Source organism: Homo sapiens, chromosome 19, assembly GCF_000001405.40.
Source record: "Homo sapiens chromosome 19, GRCh38.p14 Primary Assembly".
In the NCBI taxonomy this organism is placed as follows: domain Eukaryota; kingdom Metazoa; phylum Chordata; class Mammalia; order Primates; family Hominidae; genus Homo; species Homo sapiens.
The window spans coordinates 10,903,536-10,921,532 of NC_000019.10; the positions used below are offsets into that span (position 1 = coordinate 10,903,536).

Sequence of the window (17,997 nt, forward strand, 5' to 3'; positions counted from 1 at the left end):
TAGTCCACACTCACATTTCCCTAGTTGTCTTTTTTTTTTTTTTTAATAGGATCTCACGTCTGTTGCCTAGACTAGAGTGCAGTGGCACCATCATACCTCACTACAGCCTCAACCTCCTGGGCTCAAGCGATCCTCCCACCTCAGCCTCCCAAGTAGCTAGGACCACAGGTGTGAGCCACTCTGTCCAGCTCCCCAGTTGTCCTTTATTTATTTTTTTGAGACAAGGTCTTGCTCTGTCACCCAGGCTGGAATGCAGTGGCACAGTCATGACTCACTGTAGCCTCAGCCTCCTGAGTCCCTAAGACAACAGGCGCATGCCACCATGCCTGCCTAATTTTTAAATTTTTTTGTAGAGATGGGGTCTTGCTATGCTGCCCAGGCTGATCTCCAGCTCCTGGGTTCAAGTGATCCTCCTGCCTTGGCCTCCCAAAGTGCTGGGATTAGAGGTGTGGGCCCAGCCTCCCCAGTTGTCCTGTATAACTTTTAAAAACATTTTTCGTTTGGCTCCAGCCCAGGGTCCCACTTTGCATTGCATTGGGCACTCCCCTCTTTCTTGTCTCCTGCACTCTGGAATAGCTCCCACCGTTTTGGTCTTTCCTGACATTGGCCTGTTCAAGGAGACCAGGCTGGTTGTCCTGTAGCCTGCCCCACAACTTGTCCTTTTCTGTTGTCCCTTGAAGATGAGACTAGGGCAAACATTTTTGCCAAGAATACTACAGATGATGCACCTGTCCCACTGCAGTATGGCAGGCAGGGGCACAGTGCCTGATTGGGCTGGCCCGTTCCTGGCATCGCTAAGTTTCACCATTTGGCTGGAGTGGAGTGGCTGCAGGTTTGTGGAATGAATGACTGGTAACAGCTATCATGATGGGTACAGGGAGACAGTGTCCTAATTCACTAGACCACTGCCCCGCCATTAGCCCCATCTGATGGTGAGAACCCCAGTTCCAGAGAGGCTGAGGGACATGCCTGTGTCACAGTGAACAAATGGCATGGATGGGGTGTGAACCCAGCGGTCTGACTCCACTGGCCACATGCAGTCACTGCTCTGCGCCCATCCAAGAACAGAAGGGCTCAGCCGAGCAGGGCAGAGGCAGCTCCAGCTCTGAGTTCCTGTGGGCCAGCACCATGCCTTGTGGCCCTGTCTGCCCACCTCAGCCTTCACCATGCCCGTCTCAGCCCTGATCATCCTGAGGACACAGGCTGTGTTCCTGCTGTCTGATCAGTCGCTCCCTTGTCTTCCATGTGGGCTGGGCAGTCAGGGCACCCGGCAATGCTGCCAGGGTGGTTTTGTGGCACTCTGGAAGAATCTGGGGGCACCAAGGGGAGGCAGCAGGAGGGCGACAGGGACCCAGGCTCAAAAGAAGGCAGCTGACAGGGCTGCACCGCTCACGCCAGCCTGTCTTCTCTCGTAGATGAAGATGTGTGTGTCTTTAAGTGCTCAGTGTCCCGAGAGACAGAGTGCAGCCGTGTGGGCAAGCAGTCCTTCATCATCACCCTGGGCTGCAACAGCGTCCTCATCCAGTTCGCCACACCCAACGGTACGTGGCCCTCCTTCCATTCCGGTGACACCAGCCCAAAGCGCCCAGAGCCCTGGTGGGCAGGGGCGTAGAGCCTGGCTGAGGGGTGGCCCGTGCATCCTTAAGAAGGCTCCACTGCCCTCAAAACCACATTCCCACATGCAGGTATGCCCAGAATACACTCTGGCCTGGGCAGACCCTGGATCCCAGACCCTCCCTCACCGGCTCCTCCGGGTCTTTTGGGGCTTGGCTTCTATGTCCCCACCTCCAAGAGGCCCATCCTGACCACCTGGGACCAGTCTTTCTGGCAGTGGCCAGCCCTGGGCCAGCTGTGACTGGGCCAGCTGTGGATGGAGTGAGGCGAGGTCCTAGAGGCAGGAAGAGTTTGCTCAGGGCGCAGAGAAGCCACCAGAAGGGCTTAACCAACCCACCTTGGGGGCACAGGTGGACACAAGATTCCTGACTAGGGGTGGGAGAACCCCAGGTGGATGCAGCCAGGGTAGCAGAGAGGTGTCCAGGAATGCCCAGGGCTGGAGATGGTCTGAAGGTCCCACCGCAGGCTTGGTTACCAGAGACCTGAAGTGAGTCCAGTGGTTGACACAGGTGCTGGTGCGAGGACAGCTGGAGGTGGAGAGGCTGCGTGCCCATGAGCCACTGCCGGCCTCCCCCTTGTCTCAAGGTAGCTGTGCAGTGACCCAGATGTACCTTGGGCAGCCTGAGCCCTCGGGGCCAGCTGTGTGAAGCTGCCATGCCTGGCTAATTTTTTGTAGAGATGGGTTTTCACTGTGTTGCCCAGGCTGGTCTTGAACTCCTGGCCTCAAGTGAGCCACCTGCCTCAGCCTCCCAAAGTGCTGGGATTACAGATGTGAGCCACCGTGCCCGGCCCCTTTTTTTTTTTTTTTTTTTTTTTTGAGAAAGAGTGTCACTCTGTTGCCCAGGCTGGAGTTCAGTGGTGCTATCTTAGCTCACTGCAACCTCCACCTCCCGGGTTCAAGGCGATTCTTATGCCTCAGCCTCCCGCGTAGCTGGGACTACACGTGTGTGCCACCGTGCCTGGCTAATTTTTGTGTTTTTAATATAGTAGACATGGAGTTTTTCATATTGCCCAGGCTGGTCTCAAACTCCTGGCCTCAAGTGATCCACCCGCCTCAGCCTCCCAACGTGCTGGGATTACAGGCATGAGCCACTGCACCCGGCCGTTCCCACTCTTAAGACTATTTGTATTTTAATATTTTTTATTTCAGTTCTGTCAGTTTTTAAAAGTTGTGCTAAAATCTACATAACAAAATGTGATCATTTTAACCCTTTTGAAGTGTGTAGGTTGGTAGCAAGCAGCACATTAACATTGTTGTGCAACTGTCACTACCGCCCATCTCCAGAACTTGCTCATCCCGAACTGTGTCTTTTCATTGTTTTTGAGACGGAGTCTCGCTCTGTCACCCAGGCTGGAGTGCTGGAGTGCAGTGGCGCGATCTCGGCTCACCGCAACCTCCATCTCCCAGGTTCAAGCGATTCTCCTGCCTCAGCGCCCTGAGTAGCCGGGATTACAGGCACGTGCCACTGTACCCAGATAATTTTTTGTATTTTTAGTAGAGACGGGGGTTTCACCATGTTGGCCAGGCTGGTCTTGAACTCCTGACCTCAGGTAATCCGCCTGCCTCCGCCTCCCAAAGTGCTAGGATTACATGCGTGAGCAACCATGCCTGACCGTGTCTTTTAATTTTTAAAGAGATTGTCTTTTAAATATTGTTTTGTTTTTTACTTGATATAATTTAGTGGCTATTATTCTATGTTAATAAATATAGCTTTATTTTATTTTATTTTATTTTATTTTATTTTATTTTATTTTATTTTATTTTATTTTATTTTGAGACAGAGTCTCACTCTGTTGCCCAGGCTGGAGTGCAGTCACACAATCTTGGCTCACTGCAACCTCCACCTCCCGGGTTCAAGTGATTCTCCCACCTCAGCCTCCTGAGTAGCTGGGATTACAGGTGCCCGCCACCACCCCTGGCTAATTTCTGTATTTTTAATAGAGACAGGGTTTCACCATGTTGGCCAGGCTGGTCTCGAACTCCTGACCTCAAGTGATCCACTCGCCTCAGCCTCCCAAAGTGCTAGGATTACAGGCATAAGCCACCGTGCCCGGCTTATTATTTCTTGTAGAGACAGGGTCTTGCTATGTTGCCCAGGCTGGCCTCTTAAACTGGGCTCAAGCAGTCCACCCGCCTCAGCCTCCCAATGTGCTGGGATTACAGTTGAGAACCACTGTCCCCAGCCAAATAGATAGAGCCTGCTTTAAAGGGCCACATACCATTGCATCTCTGGGAAGGGTGGTGATTGGTGATTCTCTGCCATGCTTTTCTTAATTTTTTATTTCATGTTTTTGTTTTTGTTTTTTAACGAGGCAGGGTCTTGTTATGTTGCTCAGGCTGGTCTGGAACTCCTGACAGCTGATCTGCCCACCTCAGCCTCCCACCTCAGCCTCCCAAAGTGCTGGGATTACAGGCATGAGCCACTGCACCTGGCCTCTACTGTGCTTTTCTGTGCCCCTGGCATTTGTCCAGTCCCCTCTTACTGGACATTGCAGTGTCTGCTGCCCCCACACAGATGCTGCCCTGAGCTTCTGGGTGGACTTGGGCTTATTTGCCAGAGCTTTGACTCCTGGGCCGGTGGGCGTGTGCTTGAGAGAGCTTCACCAAGCTGCCCTTTGGTGAGGAATCCCCAGGCCCACTCCCACCAGACAGCAGCCCCACATGCAGGCTACCTGCCCTCTTCTCATGTCAGTCACCACAGTGCAGGCATGGCTGCCCTTCATCTTTTCTTTGAACTTTGAAAATTGTTTTTCGGGGAAGAGAAATCACCAGCCCTGTATGTTCAAGGGAGAAACGTCAGGACATACGGCCATCCAGAACCTTCCCTCCCAGATGGCCACATGCTGGGTTGCTGACCGCCCCCCGGTGACTTGGCTTCCCTGTTCCAGATTTCTGTTCCTTCTACAACATCCTGAAAACCTGCCGGGGCCACACCCTGGAGCGGTCTGTGTTCAGCGAGCGGACGGAGGAGTCTTCTGCCGTGCAGTACTTCCAGGTGGGTTGTACTCCCCCTCAGCCAGGCCGCCTCCCCCCGGCAGCCCCCCTGCCACTCACCCGCAGGAGGCCACACAGCACAGGGAAGGCCCACCCAAGTTCCCGTCCTGGCTCTGTCCCTTACTGGCCATGTAGCCTTGGGCAGGTTTCCTCTGCTGGCTGGGCCTCAGTTTCCTCATCTGTGAAGCGGAGATGCAGGTGCCTGCCTGAGAGGGTTGCTGGAAGGATCTGAGCACAGGTGGAGCTCAGGGCCACAGGCGTTGTGAATAACGGTAGAGCAGTTACAATGCCCTGAGCGCTCCCTGCATGCCAGGCCCTGGTCTAAGCGCTGTCACATGCACAGAAGCACTTGGACCCTCCCAACAACGCTAGGAGGTAAGTGCTATTATTGTCCCCATTTTACAGATGAGAAAACTGAGGCTCAGAGAGGTTAAGTGACTTGCTCCAAGTCACACAGCTATATGCAACAGAGCCAAGATGGGAAGCCAGGTCTGCCTGATGCCAAAGTCTGTGCCCCTGCCCAGGTGCCACGCTGCCTCCCGATCGCCCGTTGTCTTACAGAGAGACACCACACCTCACCTGCCTGGCGCTCTGAGTTCTAGGGCTCTGTTCGATCTGCTTCTCTTCTTCTTTGGGGCCCTCAAGATGAGGCAGGTGGCCCCCGATGCCAGAACCCTGCCTGTGGCAAATCTTGAGTTCTCCTGGGCGGCTTCCAGGTCCAGGCGGCATCAGCTGTTGCCATCGGCTGCAGTGATAGTGGCGGTGTCCTCCTGGGGGCTGCCCTCCGGCTTCCTGCTCCCTCTCCTGGAGCTGCTAGTGGGGCCCAGGCAGAGGGTGCACGACCTCCCGAGGGAGGTTTGTGCCCTAGATGGCCCCTTGCTCTATCACAGGGCTGGCCAGGGCCTTGGCTGCCTCGTGCCACCATGTGCCCCGTGCCATCGGTATGTCTCTGTTCCAGTTTTATGGCTACCTGTCCCAGCAGCAGAACATGATGCAGGACTACGTGCGGACAGGCACCTACCAGCGCGCCATCCTGCAAAACCACACCGACTTCAAGGACAAGGTGAGTGGCCCGCGCATGTGCCCACCTCTCTGCTTCTGTCTCGGTTTTTTTTTTCTTTGCTCATTGATTTTATCTTTAATTTTCTCAGATTAGAAATGCATTTATCTCAGTTACTGCAGAGGCTGAGGCAGGAGGATCGCTTCAGTCCATGAGTTTGAGGCTGCAGTAAGCTATGATTCTGCCACTGCACTCCAGCCTGGGCGACAGAGCGAGACTCTTGTCTCTTAAAAAAAAACAAATAAACAAGGCCAGGCGCGGTGGCTCACGCCTGTAATCCCAGCACTTTGGGACGCCCAGGCGGGCGGGTCACAAGGTCAGGAGATCGAGACCATCCTGGCTAACACGATGAAACCCCGTCTCTACTAAAAAATACAAAAAAATTAGTTGGGCGTGGTGGTGGGCGCCTGTAGTCCCAGCTACTCAGGAGGCTGAGGCAGGTGAATGGCATGAACGCAGGAGGCAGAGCTTGCAGTGAGCTGAGATCGCGCCACTGCACTGCAGCCTGGGCAACAGAGTGAGACTCCATCTCAAAAAACAAACAAACAAACAAAAAAAACAAAAAGCAAGAAAAACAAATGCATTTGATATATAAACTCAACACAGCATGTACATTATAGGCTTGAGAGGCCTCTATCAGTTCCCTCCAAGATAGCCGCTACCCCTCAGTATGAGGTCTCTTCTTCAAGATTTTTCCCCATACAGACATCAGCGTATATTTTACAATTATTTTATTGAGCTGGGCAGAGTAGCTCACACCTGTCTGTAATCCCAGCACTTTGGGAGGCCAAGGCAGGGGGATCATTTGAGCCCAGGAAGTTGAAACTGCGGTGAGCTGTGATTGGGGTACTGCTCTCCAGGCTGAGCCAAAGTGCGAGACCCTGCCTCAAAAACAAAATAAATAAGCTTTTTGATATCACCAAATAATGTGCACTCATGATTAAAGAGAGAGAGAACAGAGCAGAACGTCTGTATTCAAAAGTAGAAATCGGCCAGGCACAGTGGCTCACACCTGTAATCCCAGCACTTTGGGAGGCTGAGGCAGGTGGATCACTTGAGGTTAGCAGTTCGAGACCACCCTGGCCAACATGGCAAAAGCCCATTTCTACTAAAATAAAATACAAAAATTAGCTGGGCGTGGTGGCAGGCACCTGTAGTCCCAGCTACTCAGGAGGCTGAGGCAGGAGAATCACTTGAACCTGGGAGGCGGAGGTTGCAGTGAGCCGAGATTGTGCCACTGCACTCCAGCCTGGGCAAGAGAGCAAGACTCCGTCTTAAAAAAAAAAAGTAGAAATGTATAATGTATTCCCTTCTCATCCCATTTGCCAGAGTTTTTGGTGTCTACCTTTTTTATTTTTTTATTTTTACTTTTTTTTTTATGAGATGGAGTCTTGCTTTGTTACCAGGCTGGAGTGCAGTGACACAATCTCGGCTCACTGCAACCTCCGCCTCCCGGGTTCAAGCAATTCTCCTGCCTCAGCCTCCTGAGTAGCTGGGACTACAGGCGCACACCACCAAGCCCAGCAGATTTTTGTATTTTTGGTAGAGACAGGGTTTCACCATGTTGGCCAGGATGGTCTAGATCTCTTGACCTCATGATCCACCCACCTCAGCCTCCCAAAGTGCTTGGATTACAGGCATGAGCCACTGCACCCGGCTTACTCAGAATTTTTGTTTTCTCTTTCTGTTTTTGGGGGGTTTTTTGAGACAGATTCTCACTCTGTCACCCAGGCTGGAATGCAGTGGCACAATCTCAGCTCACTGCAGCCTCTGCCTCCTGGGTTCAAGCGATTTTTGTGCCTCAGCCGGCCAAGTAGCTGGGATTACAGTCATGTGCCACCATGCCCGGCTAATTTTTGTATTTTTAGTAGAGATGGGGTTCTGCCATGTTGCCCAGGCTGGTCTCAAACTTCTGGCCTCAAGCAGTTCATCCGCCTCAGCCTCCCAAAGTGCTGAGATTACAGGTGTGAGCCGCCGCACCTGGCCTGTTTTCTCTTTTGAATCAAATGGGAGCCTGTTTTTTTCCTCCAAGTATTTTGGGGATCTCTCCACGTGGATCTGCATGGATCTGCCTCATCCAGCGCCTGGGTCACGCCCCCCTAGCATCGCTTACCGTCCCAGAGGATGGTAGGCCTTGGGCCCTGGGGAGGAGTTGTCTTGACACAAGAGTGTCTGCCCTGGCAGGGCCATCCCGAGCCTCCTCCTGGCCACTGAGGTCTGGGAAGGACGTCCTCCGTTGGTGAAGTCCCTTCCTGCTCCCCAAGGATGGAGATCCATTTCCTGGTTCATCTGGAGCTCTGATCAGTACCCTGAGGCCTTCCCACCTGACCCCAGCTTCCCCTGCAGGCACTCACCATGCCCAGAGCATTTGTCCTTCAAAAGCTCATGCCTGTCACCACCAGGAATGTCTGTCCTTGGTCTGCTCGTGTGGAAGCAATCCCACAAATCCAGAACAGGTGGTGTGTTCTCCCAGACCCTGGCCTGGACTCTGCCATGAGTGACCACCACGGGCCAGTAGCCCTGCGGGGAGCCCAGCCGGCCCCAGGGCTTGGGCGGCTCACCTGCCCCAGCCAAGACGGGCTGCTTCTCCAGGCATGAGTCAGCATGGAGCTGGGAGACACTGCCACCAACAACTCGGGCCCCTTTCCTCCATGCTAGAACTGCGGAGGCCCCGGAAAAATGCTTTTCAACTGCCAGTGAGCTTCCAGGGGAGGCCCGTGCCACTCACCCCAGACGATCCGGAGGCCTGCAGGCCACAGGGTTGGGGCCGAGCGGGAGCTTCCCCAGGGCTTCTCCTCCCGGAGGACTGGCCCATGGCTCATCTTGAGTTCTCGCTTCATTTTGACCAAGAGCCCATAAAGGGCAAACATTGAGAGTGAAGACAGACGCCTCATGATGTGCACATCCCTTATGATCACTGTCACCTCCCCATCACCGTCGCCTCCTATGTCTCGCTCTCACCTCCCACTCCTCCCTCAGATCGTTCTTGATGTTGGCTGTGGCTCTGGGATCCTGTCGTTTTTTGCCGCCCAAGCTGGAGCACGGAAAATCTACGCGGTGGAGGCCAGCACCATGGCCCAGCACGCTGAGGTCAGTGGCCCGCTGGTGCCCACCCAGCCTCGTCCTCGCCCATGAGTGCCATGCCGGCCCCAGCCTAGAGAAGCTTGGGAACCCCCAGGGGCCTGGGGACATTACTTCTGTGCTTTGGTCTCTTTATTGTCCCCAAGACAGTCATTTCAGGGAGGGGCTTCAGGGCCTGAGATGATTTTCTCTCATGGCCGGTAGTCAGGGCCACATGTCATTTCCCTGTTTTCTTTTTTTTTTTTTTGCACTGAAACCTTCATTCACAAAGTTCAAAACATAAAAGCTAAAAAAGAGCAGACAGCGTGCTCTCCTTCCCCACCCCAGCTCCCACCCCCAGCCCCATCATGAGAGAGGAGCTACGGCCACAAAGTCTGAGCAGAGCTATTCCGTGAGCGTCCTCTCGCACCAGTGGAGGCTGCACCCTCCATTCCCTGCTCTGCCTCTCCCATGGATCTGGGGTCGCCGGGGTCGTGGAGGGGCCATCTTTGTTCTGTCTTGCCGCCGCAGAGCACCCCTGTGCCCAGCCGTGCCGCTGTTGCTTTAGCTGCATTGTGTCCGCAGCGACACTCAGACTCCTTCCAGGTCTTCACGTGGCCAACGCTGCTGTCCTGAGCCCCTCTCCCACATGCGGTTGTGTCTGTAGGACACACCCTAGCCCTGGAATCGCTGGGTTGGGGGTGCATCCAGCTTTAGCTTTGGTGGCTGTTGTGATGTCTGCTCGTCCCCCTCTTTGCAGCCACCAGCAGTTGTCGACGCAGGGTGGGGGACCTAGGAGGCCGCAGCAGGGGACGGCCCTGAGGCAGGGCCGGGGTCACAGTGAACTCTCTTTTTTTTTGGGGGGGGTCTCACTCTGTTGCTCAGGCTTGAGTGCAGTGGTGCGATCCTGGCTCATTGCAACCTCCACCTCCCGGGTTCAAGTGATTCTCCTGTCTCAGGCTCCTGAATAGCTGGGATCCACCACTGCAACTGGCTAATTTTTGTATTTTTAGGCCAGGCATGGTGGCTCACACCTGTAATCCCAGCACTTTGGGAGGCTTAGGTGGGCGGATCACCTGAGGTCAAGAGTTCGAGACCAGCCTGACCAACGTGGCAAAACCCCATTAGCCAGGCGTGGTGGTGGGTGCCTGTAGTCCCAGCTACTCGGGAGGCTGAGGTGGGAGAATCGCTAGAACCCGGGAGGCAGAGGTTGCAGTGAGCCGAGATGGCGCCACTACCACCTCCAGCCTGGGCAACAGAGTGAGAATCTGTCTCAAAGAAAAAAAAAATAGTTTTTTTTTTTTGGTATTTTTAGTAGAGACAGGGTTTCTCCATGTTGGTCAGGCTAGTCTCCCAACTTATGAGGTCAAGCAGTCCGCCTGCCTCGGCCTCCCAAAGTGCTGGGATTACAGGCATGAGGCACCGTGCCCGGCCCACAGTGAGCTCTTAACAGGCTATGGCCAATCGCAGCCATGGTTGGGGCGCCAGCGAAGCAGGCAGAGGGGCACCCAATGCCCATGTGTGGATGGAGGCTGTCCCTTGAGAGCAGGTCTAGGGAGGGCCCCATGGCAGGAAGACGCAGGGAAGCCCACATGGCCCTGCCCGCCTGCAGGTCTTGGTGAAGAGTAACAACCTGACGGACCGCATCGTGGTCATCCCGGGCAAGGTGGAGGAGGTGTCACTCCCCGAGCAGGTGGACATCATCATCTCGGAGCCCATGGGCTACATGCTCTTCAACGAGCGCATGCTGGAGAGCTACCTCCACGCCAAGAAGTACCTGAAGCCCAGCGGTGAGCACTGGGGGGTACACAGGCCAGGCCCCTCGGTGGAGGCCCTGGCTGCCGCTGAGCCAGGCCATCAGTGCTTCAGCTCCCTGCTTACTGTCGGTGGCCCGGGGTGTAGGGAAGCCTGGGCTTTTCCCCCGCTCCCACCCCAACCCCACTCCAGCCAGCTGTGGCTTTTGGAGCCCTGGGCCCCAAACACGGCCAGACACCCAGCTGCCCACTCGCCCAGACAGGGTACACAGGATCTCCTGGCACCTCTGCCGTCCCATGTCCTGCTCCTGCGGGACAGCCTCTGGCTGGGAGTGGGGATTGGGACAGGTTCTGTGGTCAGCAGTTCCCCAACAAGCCCTGCTCTCCTCACAGTCCAGGAGGTGGGGTGGGCGAGCATGTGTGCAAATGCAGGGGTGTGGGTGCGAGTGTACGTGTGTGAGGAGGTGAGGTAGCTGTCTGGCAAGCCCATCTGTCACTTCCCATCCGTGCCTCTGGGTATGGCCTCTGGTCACTGGGTGACTGTTTCTTTTTTTGAGACAGAGTTTCACTCTTGTTGCCAAGGCTGGAGTGCAGTGGTGCGATCTCGGCTCACTGCAACCTGCACCTCCCCAGTTCAAGCAATTTTTGTGCTTCAGCCTCCTGAGTAGCTGGGATTACAGGTGTGCACCACCACGCCCAGCTAAGTTTTGTATTTTTAGTAGAGATGGGGTTTCACCGTGTTGGTCAGGCTGGTCACGAACTCCTGACCTCAGGTGATCTACCCGCCTCAGCCTCCCAAAGTGTTGGGATTATAGGCATGAGCCACTGTGCCTGGCCTGGGTGACTGTTTCTATTTGCCCATCTGTCTTGGGGTCTGTGCAGCCCTGACGCCTGAGGCATGTGCCTGTGGCTCTTCTCATGCTAGGTATGTGAGCGTCTGAGCATTTCTGTACAGGCAAGCAGCTGTGTGTGCGTGTGGCAGGGTACAGGTCCCCAGCCAGGGTAGCAGCCATGGGATGGAGCGTGGGCAGCAGCAGGCTGGTGGGGCTTGTGCAGGCAGGGGCAGGGGGGAAGCTTCCACTCTCATCTCTGGCCCGCCCTGGATCCAGGCCCTAGGGTCCTGGCTGGCTGTGCTCCTGGAGGTGGGAGGTGGCGTCCCACAGCTGTGTCTCATGTCTTGGGTGTGAGTATGGGAAGCAAGGCTGCTCCAGGGGCTGTGGGCCCCACTCTCCTCCCCTTCTGCCCTGATGGTGGGGATGGGGGTGGGGACAGCCCCAGCAGAGAGGGCCCCTCCCGATGGGACATGAAGCCAGATGGCAGTCAGGCTCTGTGGGCAGCTGCATGTGCCCCCGACGTCCCAGCAGCCAGCTTGCAGGGAGGGGGGAGGCCAGGCCTGTGCAAGGAGGACTCCTGTCCAGCTCAGGAAGCTCTTCCAGGGGTTAAAGGCAGCCCTCCCCTCTCCCAGTCACATGTCTTCTGGTCAGCAGGAGCCAGAGGTTCCTTCCAGGCTGGGTCACTTCCCATGGTGCCCCCAGGTCCCCCAGGGCAGAAGCCGCAGCATGTGCATCTCCCTCCCCGTTCCAGCAGCTGCAGCCCTGCAGCTCTCGCCTCGGGTACAGCCTGGTGGCGTAAGGAGGAGGCAGAGTCCCACTGATACCTCAGGATCTCCTCCCCCAGCTTGCAAGGCTGGGGGGCCCACATCTGGAGGCCAGGTGCTCCTTGGGGCAGGCGGGGCTGCGGGGCCCTGATCCTCCCTGCCACTGGCCCTGACTCATGCGTCTACCCTTGAGTCACAGAGGGAGGCCCTGCCCTTCCCTCAGTCTGTGTGCCCAGACCAGGCAGGCCAAGTGGCCCATCCTGCCGGCTGGGTGCCTGTGCCAGAACCTAGGCAGTCCCTGTGGTGTGGATTTGGCTTCCCCCACCTGGCTCTTGGCCTCAACTGAGGTCCCCAGCGGCGTTGGGGTAGCCCGGGGCCCACCACCCTCCCTCTGTCCAGAGCAACTTTGCTATGCTTTCCCGGCTGCACACATGCACAGACGGCAGGGCCTGAGAGGCAGCGCCTGGCCACATCCCGGGCACTGCCTGCTTCCCCGTGAGTCTTTGGCAGGTCCCTCACACCTGCCAGGTCTAGTAATAGGACATAAAGATGAGCCACCAGCCTCCCAGTCTCAGGTGGAATTCGTGAGCTGGTGCAGGTCAGGTACCCGTGGTGGTGATGAAACACTGATCAGAATAGGCGCTCGGTGCCACTGTCACAGGAGTGCAGGAACGAATGGATGACAGGCTGGGAGCACCCAGGGTTGGGGGTCTTGGGGTCCTTTGGAAGCTCTGCCAGGCAGTGTGGGATGTGTCACCTGACGCCAGCACCCCTCCCTGCCCCACTCCCAGGAAACATGTTTCCTACCATTGGTGACGTCCACCTTGCACCCTTCACGGATGAACAGCTCTACATGGAGCAGTTCACCAAGGCCAACTTCTGGTGAGTGTGCCCTGGGTGTCCCGCCTGGGCCCCACAGCCTGCCTTCTCAGGGACAGCCCCAGCTCCCCAGAGAGCCTGCACTCCTCTTTTTCTGAAAGACTTGGGCTAGATGAGGGCTGACTGGGAGAGAAGGCAGGGCTACCCCACCTGCCTCTTCTGCAGCCCTGACCTTGCTGTGGGGGTGGGGCCTGTCCACAGGTACCAGCCATCTTTCCATGGAGTGGACCTGTCGGCCCTCCGAGGTGCCGCGGTGGATGAGTATTTCCGGCAGCCTGTGGTGGTGAGTAGGGCCTCCAGGGTACTGCTGCAGTGATCACTTGCCATTGCTGTGCAGCTGTGCAGCCCTCAGGAAGCTACAGCCCCTCTCTGAGCCCTCTCCTCTGCCCTGCACAGCGCTCTCACAGAGATTTGGGCCAAAAGTGTCAATGCATGTAGACACTTAGCACACAGCACACATGCAATACATGTGGAACATTATTAGGTGAGGCTAAGGCAGAGGGGGCATTTAGGCTCAGGAGTTCAAGATCAGCCTGGGCAACACAGAGACGCCATCGCTATTTTTAAAATTAAAATAAATAAATAATAAAAATAAAAAAGAACCATTACTAGATGAATTTATCCTTGGTGAGCTGATGTGATTTATTGATTGATTTTACTTGAGATTTTTGATACATAGATCCATGATTTAAAAATCAAAAGGAAAAAAAAGCTAGGTGCAGTGGGTCACACCTGTAATCCCAGCACTTTGGGAGGCCAAGGCGGGCAGATCACGAGGTTAGGAGATTGAGACCAACACGGTGAAACCCCATCTCTACTAAAAATACAAAAAATTAGCCAGACGTGGTGGCGGGCGCCTGTAGTCCCAGCTACTCAGGAGGCTGAGGCAGGAGAATGGCGTGAACCCGGGAGGCAGAGCTTGCAGTGAGCCGAGATCGCACCACTGCACTCCAGCCTGGGCGACAGAGTGAGACTCCGTCTCAAAAAAAAAGAAAAAAAGGTTCCATTTTATTCTGTTTTCCCCCTGCTCTTGATGTTTTTCATTCGTTTTGGGAGACTCTTGGACTATCTTGGATACTATCTCTTTAAACACTACGTCTGCCCCATTCTTTCTCCTTCTGGGATTCCAATTACGTGTACAGTGAACCTTTTCACCATATCTCAGATGATTGTTATACTCTTTTCTGTCTTTTCCATCCATTTTTTTCTCTCATTTTCTTTTTCTTTTTTTTTTTTTTTTTGAGACGGAGTCTTGCTCTGTTGCCCAGGCTGGAGTGCTGTGGCATGATGTCAGCTCACTGCAACCTCCACTTTCCGGGCTCAAGCGATTCTCAGACTCCTGAGTAGCTGGGAGTACAGGCGCTTGCCACCACTCCCAGCTAGTTTTTTGTAATTTTAGTAGAGATGGGGTTTCGCCATGTTGGCCAGGCTGGTCTGAAACTCCTGACCTTAGGTGATCCGCCTGCCTCGGCCTCCCAAAGTGCTGGGATTACAGGCGTGAGCCACCATGCCCAGCGTGTTCAGTCTTTTGTGATATCACTGGGGAGTGAATGAGTGAAAAAAGCAGGAAATATTTTGGTGGTATTATGCAAATTTTGTATTATGATGAGGGTGCCTTGGAAGAGGCCACAGTTTGAGAAGGTGCTGCTTTATGGTACAGCCTTTGGTAATGTTAATGCAAGTCCAGTGGTTAGCCTCATTACCAATATGCTGCTGAACCACCCGTTAGCTTTTATTGTTTTTTGAAACAGGATCTCACTCTGTTCCCCAGGCTGGAGTACAGTGGCTCAATCACTTCATGGCTTACTTCAGCCTCGATCTCCCAGACGCAAGTGATCCTCCTGCCTCAGCTTCCCAAGTAGCTGGAACTATAGGAGTGTGCCACCATGCCCGGCTAATTTATTTTTTTGTAGATATGGGGCCTCACTGTGTTACTCAGGCTGGTCTTGAACTCCTGACCTCAGGTGATCCGTCCGCCTCGGCCTCCCAAAGTGCTGGGATTATAGGCATAAGCCACTGCACCTGGCGTTGAGCCTCTTATTAGCGGCTTTCTGCTTGGTGTCTTAGCCTCTGATGCCCTGCCTCGCTCAAAGCTCAGGAGTTGGCCAATTTCACAAGCGCACTGAGTGTGCACCGCCCACCTTGCCCTCCTGCACTTATTTCCCTTTGCTTTGACATCACAGCCCCTTGAATCCGAGCTGCCTTGGTAACCCTGAGCTCCCATTTTGCTTTCCCCACCCAAGGAAGCTGCTGAAAGGTCGAGGTGGCCGTTTTCTGCCCTCCCCATGGGGAAAAGGTAGAGGCCAGAAAGGGCTCCCTCCAGAAAGGGCATTTCCCTCCTTTCCAGGAGCTTGATCCCCAAAATCCTGGCCGCTCTGGTTGGTCACCAGTGCTTCCAACAACTGGTTTATTCTTTTCTTTGGATTTTATTCGGTTTACATAGTTCATGGCAGGTGTGTTAGTCGGATATAAACATTGCTGGGAGTGGACAGCAGCACTAGTGTTGTTGTTGTTTTTAAGAGACAGGGTCTCCCTGTGTTTCCCAGGCTTGATTCACACTCTCGGGCTTAAGCGATCCTCCTGCCTCAGCCTCCTGAGTAGCTGGAGTTACAGGCATACAATTCCACACCCAGCTAGCACCTAGTTCTTTAACTTGCTTTTTTGGTTAACTTGCTTAATGATTTAGCTTGGAGATCTTTCCTCATCTGTTCATAAAGAGCCTCTTCATTCTTTCTCACGTCCGCATGGTCTTTGATGGGAGAGCCATCACTGGTTTAATTAGATGGTTTCCAGTGTGTCGCTACCACGGACAATCTAATTATACATGTAAGTTTGTTGATGTGTTCATGTATCTGGAGGTTAAACTCCTGTAGTGCCAAATCTTTTATGTGGATAAACACTTGTCATTTGGAGAGCTGTCACCTGATTGCCCTCGGTGGCGTTGTGCCGGTCCCCTCCTCACGGCGTGTCTGGGAAGAGCAAGCTCGTTTTAGCTGCACAGCCTAGAAGCCGTGGGCAGACCTGGGGGAAGGGGCAGGGCTCTCCCCTCCCATGCTGGCCCTGGCGTCAGATGCCACGTCACACCTGTGGTCTCTCCCAGGACACATTTGACATCCGGATCCTGATGGCCAAGTCTGTCAAGTACACGGTGAACTTCTTAGAAGCCAAAGAAGGAGATTTGCACAGGTACTGGCACCCACACTCCATCCTCCCAGGCCTGGCTCAGGCCGAAGGTCAGGGCCACCCCTGGCTCCCGCCGGCATCCTGCCGTCCCAGGGCAGATGGTGGGCGGGGGCCCCAGGCCTCTGCACCTGGCACCCCCTCTTCTCTCTCGGCAGCGCCTGTCTGGCTTCCCCAGCAGCCACTGCCCTTTGCCTTCCAGGATAGAAATCCCATTCAAATTCCACATGCTGCATTCAGGGCTGGTCCACGGCCTGGCTTTCTGGTTTGACGTTGCTTTCATCGGCTCCATGTGAGTGCCGCAGAGCAGCCCATGCTGCCTCCTCCCCACTCCCAGGGCTTCCTGCAGCTGCAACCTGGCTGGGGGGGTGGAACATGGCTCCAGGTTCCACCATCCCTTCCAATGGGAGTGAGAGCCTGTCTCGGAGCAAGAGACTGTTGTGGGTGGGGTGTGTGTGTGTGTGTGTGTATGTGTGTGTGTGTCCTGTGTTCCCAGTGTCTGTCCCTCATGGGTCTGTGTCTGTCTCTTGGCACATGTCAGGGTGAGTAGGGATCTCGTGGTTGCGGGCCCCTCGTGTGTACATGTATGCCTGCTCATGTTTGTGTCTGGGACTGCCTGGGGGCCAGCCTGTCTCTGCTCCAGGGTCCCAGGGGTCCCTGGCAGAGGGGGCAGGTGCTTGGGGAGGACTCAAGGCATACAAGGTGGTGGCTCCAGTGGTGGCGCCGGCCCAGTCAAGTATGTGCCTGTCCCTGCTCCACAGAATGACCGTGTGGCTGTCCACAGCCCCGACAGAGCCCCTGACCCACTGGTACCAGGTGCGGTGCCTGTTCCAGTCACCACTGTTCGCCAAGGCAGGGGACACGCTCTCAGGGACATGTCTGCTTATTGCCAACAAAAGGTGCGACTGCTCCCTGGGGCTGGTGGTGGTGGGCAGGGGTCCATCTGCCCAGCAGCTCATGCCACGGCCTGCACCCTGTCCGCAGACAGAGCTACGACATCAGTATTGTGGCCCAGGTGGACCAGACCGGCTCCAAGTCCAGTAACCTCCTGGATCTGAAAAACCCCTTCTTTAGGTAGGAGGGGCCCCTTGCCTGCACAGGGGGGCGCCCCGGCCCTGCAACCCCCTTGCCCCTGCCCATGGCTCTGTCTCTGCCATAGATACACGGGCACAACGCCCTCACCCCCACCCGGCTCCCACTACACATCTCCCTCGGAAAACATGTGGAACACGGGCAGCACCTACAACCTCAGCAGCGGGATGGCCGTGGCAGGTGAGCAGGGCCCACCCCAATGCCCAGCCAACCCGGGAGGCCGCCCTCGCCGCAGGCCTGGCCCCTCTGCCTCCAGCCCTGACGTCTCCCTCTCTGGACACAGGGATGCCGACCGCCTATGACTTGAGCAGTGTTATTGCCAGTGGCTCCAGCGTGGGCCACAACAACCTGATTCCTTTAGGTGAGTGTCCCCCAGGGCCAGGGGCAGCAGGGAGCCATGCCCAGGACTGCCCAGGGGCCGGGAAGGGCCTGTGGTGACCAGGGTCGGCCTCTGCTTGGTCCTTTCACCTTTTCCTCTTCCTGGGGGCTCTCGGCCGAGGCTCTCCGTCCTCTCTGCCTCGCTCTGCAGCCTGCTGCTGTGCATGGGCTGGGTGGCTGGGGGCGGTGACGCCGTCTCCCTTCCTTCTTTCCTCCCTCTCGCTGCGCAGCCAACACGGGGATTGTCAATCACACCCACTCCCGGATGGGCTCCATAATGAGCACGGGGATTGTCCAAGGTAACGAGGGTGGCGGGGGCAGGGCCCGTGGGGGCCGAGCTAGCGTGTGAGTCGCCATCCTCTGTCCGGCCGCCCGCCTGCCCTCTTGC

The 17,997-nt window shown here is 55.5% G+C and overlaps 1 protein-coding gene across 5 annotated transcripts in view, besides 2 other annotated features; it reads left to right on the forward strand.

Moving 5' to 3' along the window:
* Nucleotides 1-17,997, forward strand: part of CARM1 (coactivator associated arginine methyltransferase 1) — a 51,523-nt gene that overhangs the window by 31,983 nt on the left and 1,543 nt on the right. For 2 of the 5 annotated variants that reach the window (NM_199141.2, XM_047438058.1), the window contains exons 2-15: nt 1,416-1,541; nt 4,504-4,610; nt 5,568-5,672; nt 8,649-8,759; nt 10,342-10,519; nt 12,872-12,962; nt 13,161-13,242; nt 16,060-16,145; nt 16,342-16,431; nt 16,901-17,038; nt 17,124-17,213; nt 17,299-17,411; nt 17,515-17,592; nt 17,840-17,908. In NM_199141.2, the coding sequence (NP_954592.1) occupies nt 1,416-1,541; nt 4,504-4,610; nt 5,568-5,672; nt 8,649-8,759; nt 10,342-10,519; nt 12,872-12,962; nt 13,161-13,242; nt 16,060-16,145; nt 16,342-16,431; nt 16,901-17,038; nt 17,124-17,213; nt 17,299-17,411; nt 17,515-17,592; nt 17,840-17,908 (1,464 nt within the window). Of the gene's footprint in view, nt 1-1,415; nt 1,542-4,503; nt 4,611-5,014; nt 5,260-5,567; nt 5,673-8,648; nt 8,760-10,341; nt 10,520-12,871; nt 12,963-13,160; nt 13,243-16,059; nt 16,146-16,341; nt 16,432-16,900; nt 17,039-17,123; nt 17,214-17,298; nt 17,412-17,514; nt 17,593-17,839; nt 17,909-17,997 lie in introns of those variants that run through there. The other 3 variants (NM_001370088.1, NM_001370089.1, XM_011527638.3) reach the window with 2 other exon arrangements.
* Nucleotides 1,491-1,678: a silencer, noted in NCBI's record as "fragment chr19:11015702-11015889 (GRCh37/hg19 assembly coordinates)". NCBI's record gives its function as "represses an EF-1alpha promoter that drives an FKBP-Casp9 reporter gene in an ReSE screen in K562 erythroleukemia cells {active_cell/tissue: K562}" and the evidence as "EXISTENCE:reporter gene assay evidence [ECO:0000049][PMID:32094911]".
* Nucleotides 17,497-17,676: a silencer, noted in NCBI's record as "fragment chr19:11031708-11031887 (GRCh37/hg19 assembly coordinates)". NCBI's record gives its function as "represses an EF-1alpha promoter that drives an FKBP-Casp9 reporter gene in an ReSE screen in HepG2 liver carcinoma cells {active_cell/tissue: HepG2}" and the evidence as "EXISTENCE:reporter gene assay evidence [ECO:0000049][PMID:32094911]".